Here is a 2009-nt window from a genome sequence, read left to right on the forward strand (position 1 = left end):
GGCAAAGAGGAAGATGGAGACTCAATTATAACACTGTTCTTACCTACCGCTTCTCTCAACCCCTTTCCTCAGAGCATTCTACTGCCGCTAGAGCTTGTCTTTATTCCCTTACTATCTCTTTCCTTCTCTAACCATTCCTCTCTTCCCTTTCCTCCCTTGCCCTTCCCTCCCCTTCTTTTCTGCCTTCTTTCCCTCCCTTTCTTTTTTCTGACATGGAGTCTCACTCTGTTACCCAGGCAGGAGTGCAATGGCGCAATCTTGGCTCATTGCAACCTCCACTTCCCGGATTCAGGCGATTCTCCTGCCTCAGCCTCCCGAGTAGCTAGGATTACAGGCACCCGCCATCACGCCCGGCTAATTTTGTATTTTTAGCAGAGACAGGGTTTCTCCAGTTTGGTCAGGCTGGTCTTGAACTCGTGACCTCAGGTGATCCGCCTGCCTTGGCCTCCCAAAGTGTTGGGATTACAGGCGTGAGCCACTGTGCTCAGCCTCCCTCCCTATCTTCTTTTCTCCCTTCCTCCTTTCTTCCTCCCCCTTTCCCTCTCTCCCTTCCTCCTTTCCTTCCTTTTTTAAAAAATTTCTTTTTCTTTCTTTCTTTGTAATAAATCTGATGCTAAGATGATATTCTCACTACCTATGCTTCCTAACTTAAGCCGTGCATATATTTCTGAGTAATGGTAGTTGTATGTCTAGGCTTGAATTCTATGAATATTATATAGGCTAATAAATCTAGCAAAGAACATATTTAAAAAATAATTTTTTCTCATGGAGCCGTTGCATACACTAAGAATGCCAGAGCATTTTTCCCCTTCATCAAACACCTGGTAATGAAATTTATTGACATATAAACTTAATAAGCTGCTGATTGAGTAATTATCGATTGACGGAAATGTGTTCTTAAAAGTCACATTAACAATTGGCAGAAAGGCAAAAATAGAACAGACTCAGTTTTCAACTTACTTTATAGCATTACCTTAAAATTGTAAAGAGTTAATCTTATCACACTACACATGGCTGAATTTATAAAAGATAAAATCACAAACGAGTAATGCACAGTTACTTGTTACATATTCTTTCCATTACAACTGACAGGTTCATTAATCATACAGTGTATTTTACTATTAGAAGCTATAAAAAAGATCAAATCTCTTGTAATTTTTCTTCTTCTCTTTCATTTGATAAGTGTGTTGTTTCAGTGTGTAGATAAAATATAGTGTCAGTCACCAACAGTCTCAGGAGATTTTCATTTTTCCAGTAAGAATATCCTTGCTTATTTGCAATGTAAAAAGTCCCTAGATCATGCATCATTTCCCTATAACTTGACCATCAGATTGAGTAAAATGTCTGTAACCACAGAAGTGGCCATCCAAAAGGAAGTGCTGTGGGAGAGGAACACTGTTTTTGGCGATAGCGGTGTTGCTTACTGAGCGGTGAAGGCATTAACGACGAACACCTCTATTCATAACGAAACACTGATTCATAATTAAGGTTCATGTAAATTACACAGAGAGCTGACAGATTTCATAAGCTGTTCTGGGGAGAGGTGGCAAATTTTACAGTTTGTCACAGATTGCCAATGAAACACTTGAAAGCATAAATGAAATATAGGACTATTTGCCAATAAATAAGGGAGGCTATGATATCCCCTTTCATGGAGTGTGATGAAAAAATATGTCTTAAAGGGCTACATTCCTACTTAGCAAACAAAGGGTTTTTTTTATTTTTATTTTTTCAGTCTAGGAAGAAATCCTGAAAAGAAAAGCAATCAACCCATACAGCAAAAACAGATGGACACATTTTAATTTTTTTAATTAGTTAAAAAAATGAGATGCCTTTTTATCTCTTGTCAATTTAAAGAGGGGAGAAGTCAACCATGAAAATTCTTCTGTGTTTCTCAGTGTTTTCATTTTCTTTATTTTTAAAAGTATAACTTATAAATAAAATTCTTAGGATTTCTTAGTTTTGGTGATTTGTGTGACACTGATGTACTGTAATTTATACAAGAACTA

At 37.5% G+C, this 2009-nt stretch overlaps 1 annotated feature.

The window, feature by feature from the left end:
• Positions 1465 to 1534: a silencer, noted in NCBI's record as "silent region_19222". NCBI's record gives its function as "represses an Ori minimal core promoter by ATAC-STARR-seq in GM12878 lymphoblastoid cells {active_cell/tissue: GM12878}" and the evidence as "EXISTENCE:reporter gene assay evidence [ECO:0000049][PMID:35858748]".

The sequence above is a fragment of the Homo sapiens genome, chromosome 8 (genome assembly GCF_000001405.40).
Source record: "Homo sapiens chromosome 8, GRCh38.p14 Primary Assembly".
In the NCBI taxonomy this organism is placed as follows: domain Eukaryota; kingdom Metazoa; phylum Chordata; class Mammalia; order Primates; family Hominidae; genus Homo; species Homo sapiens.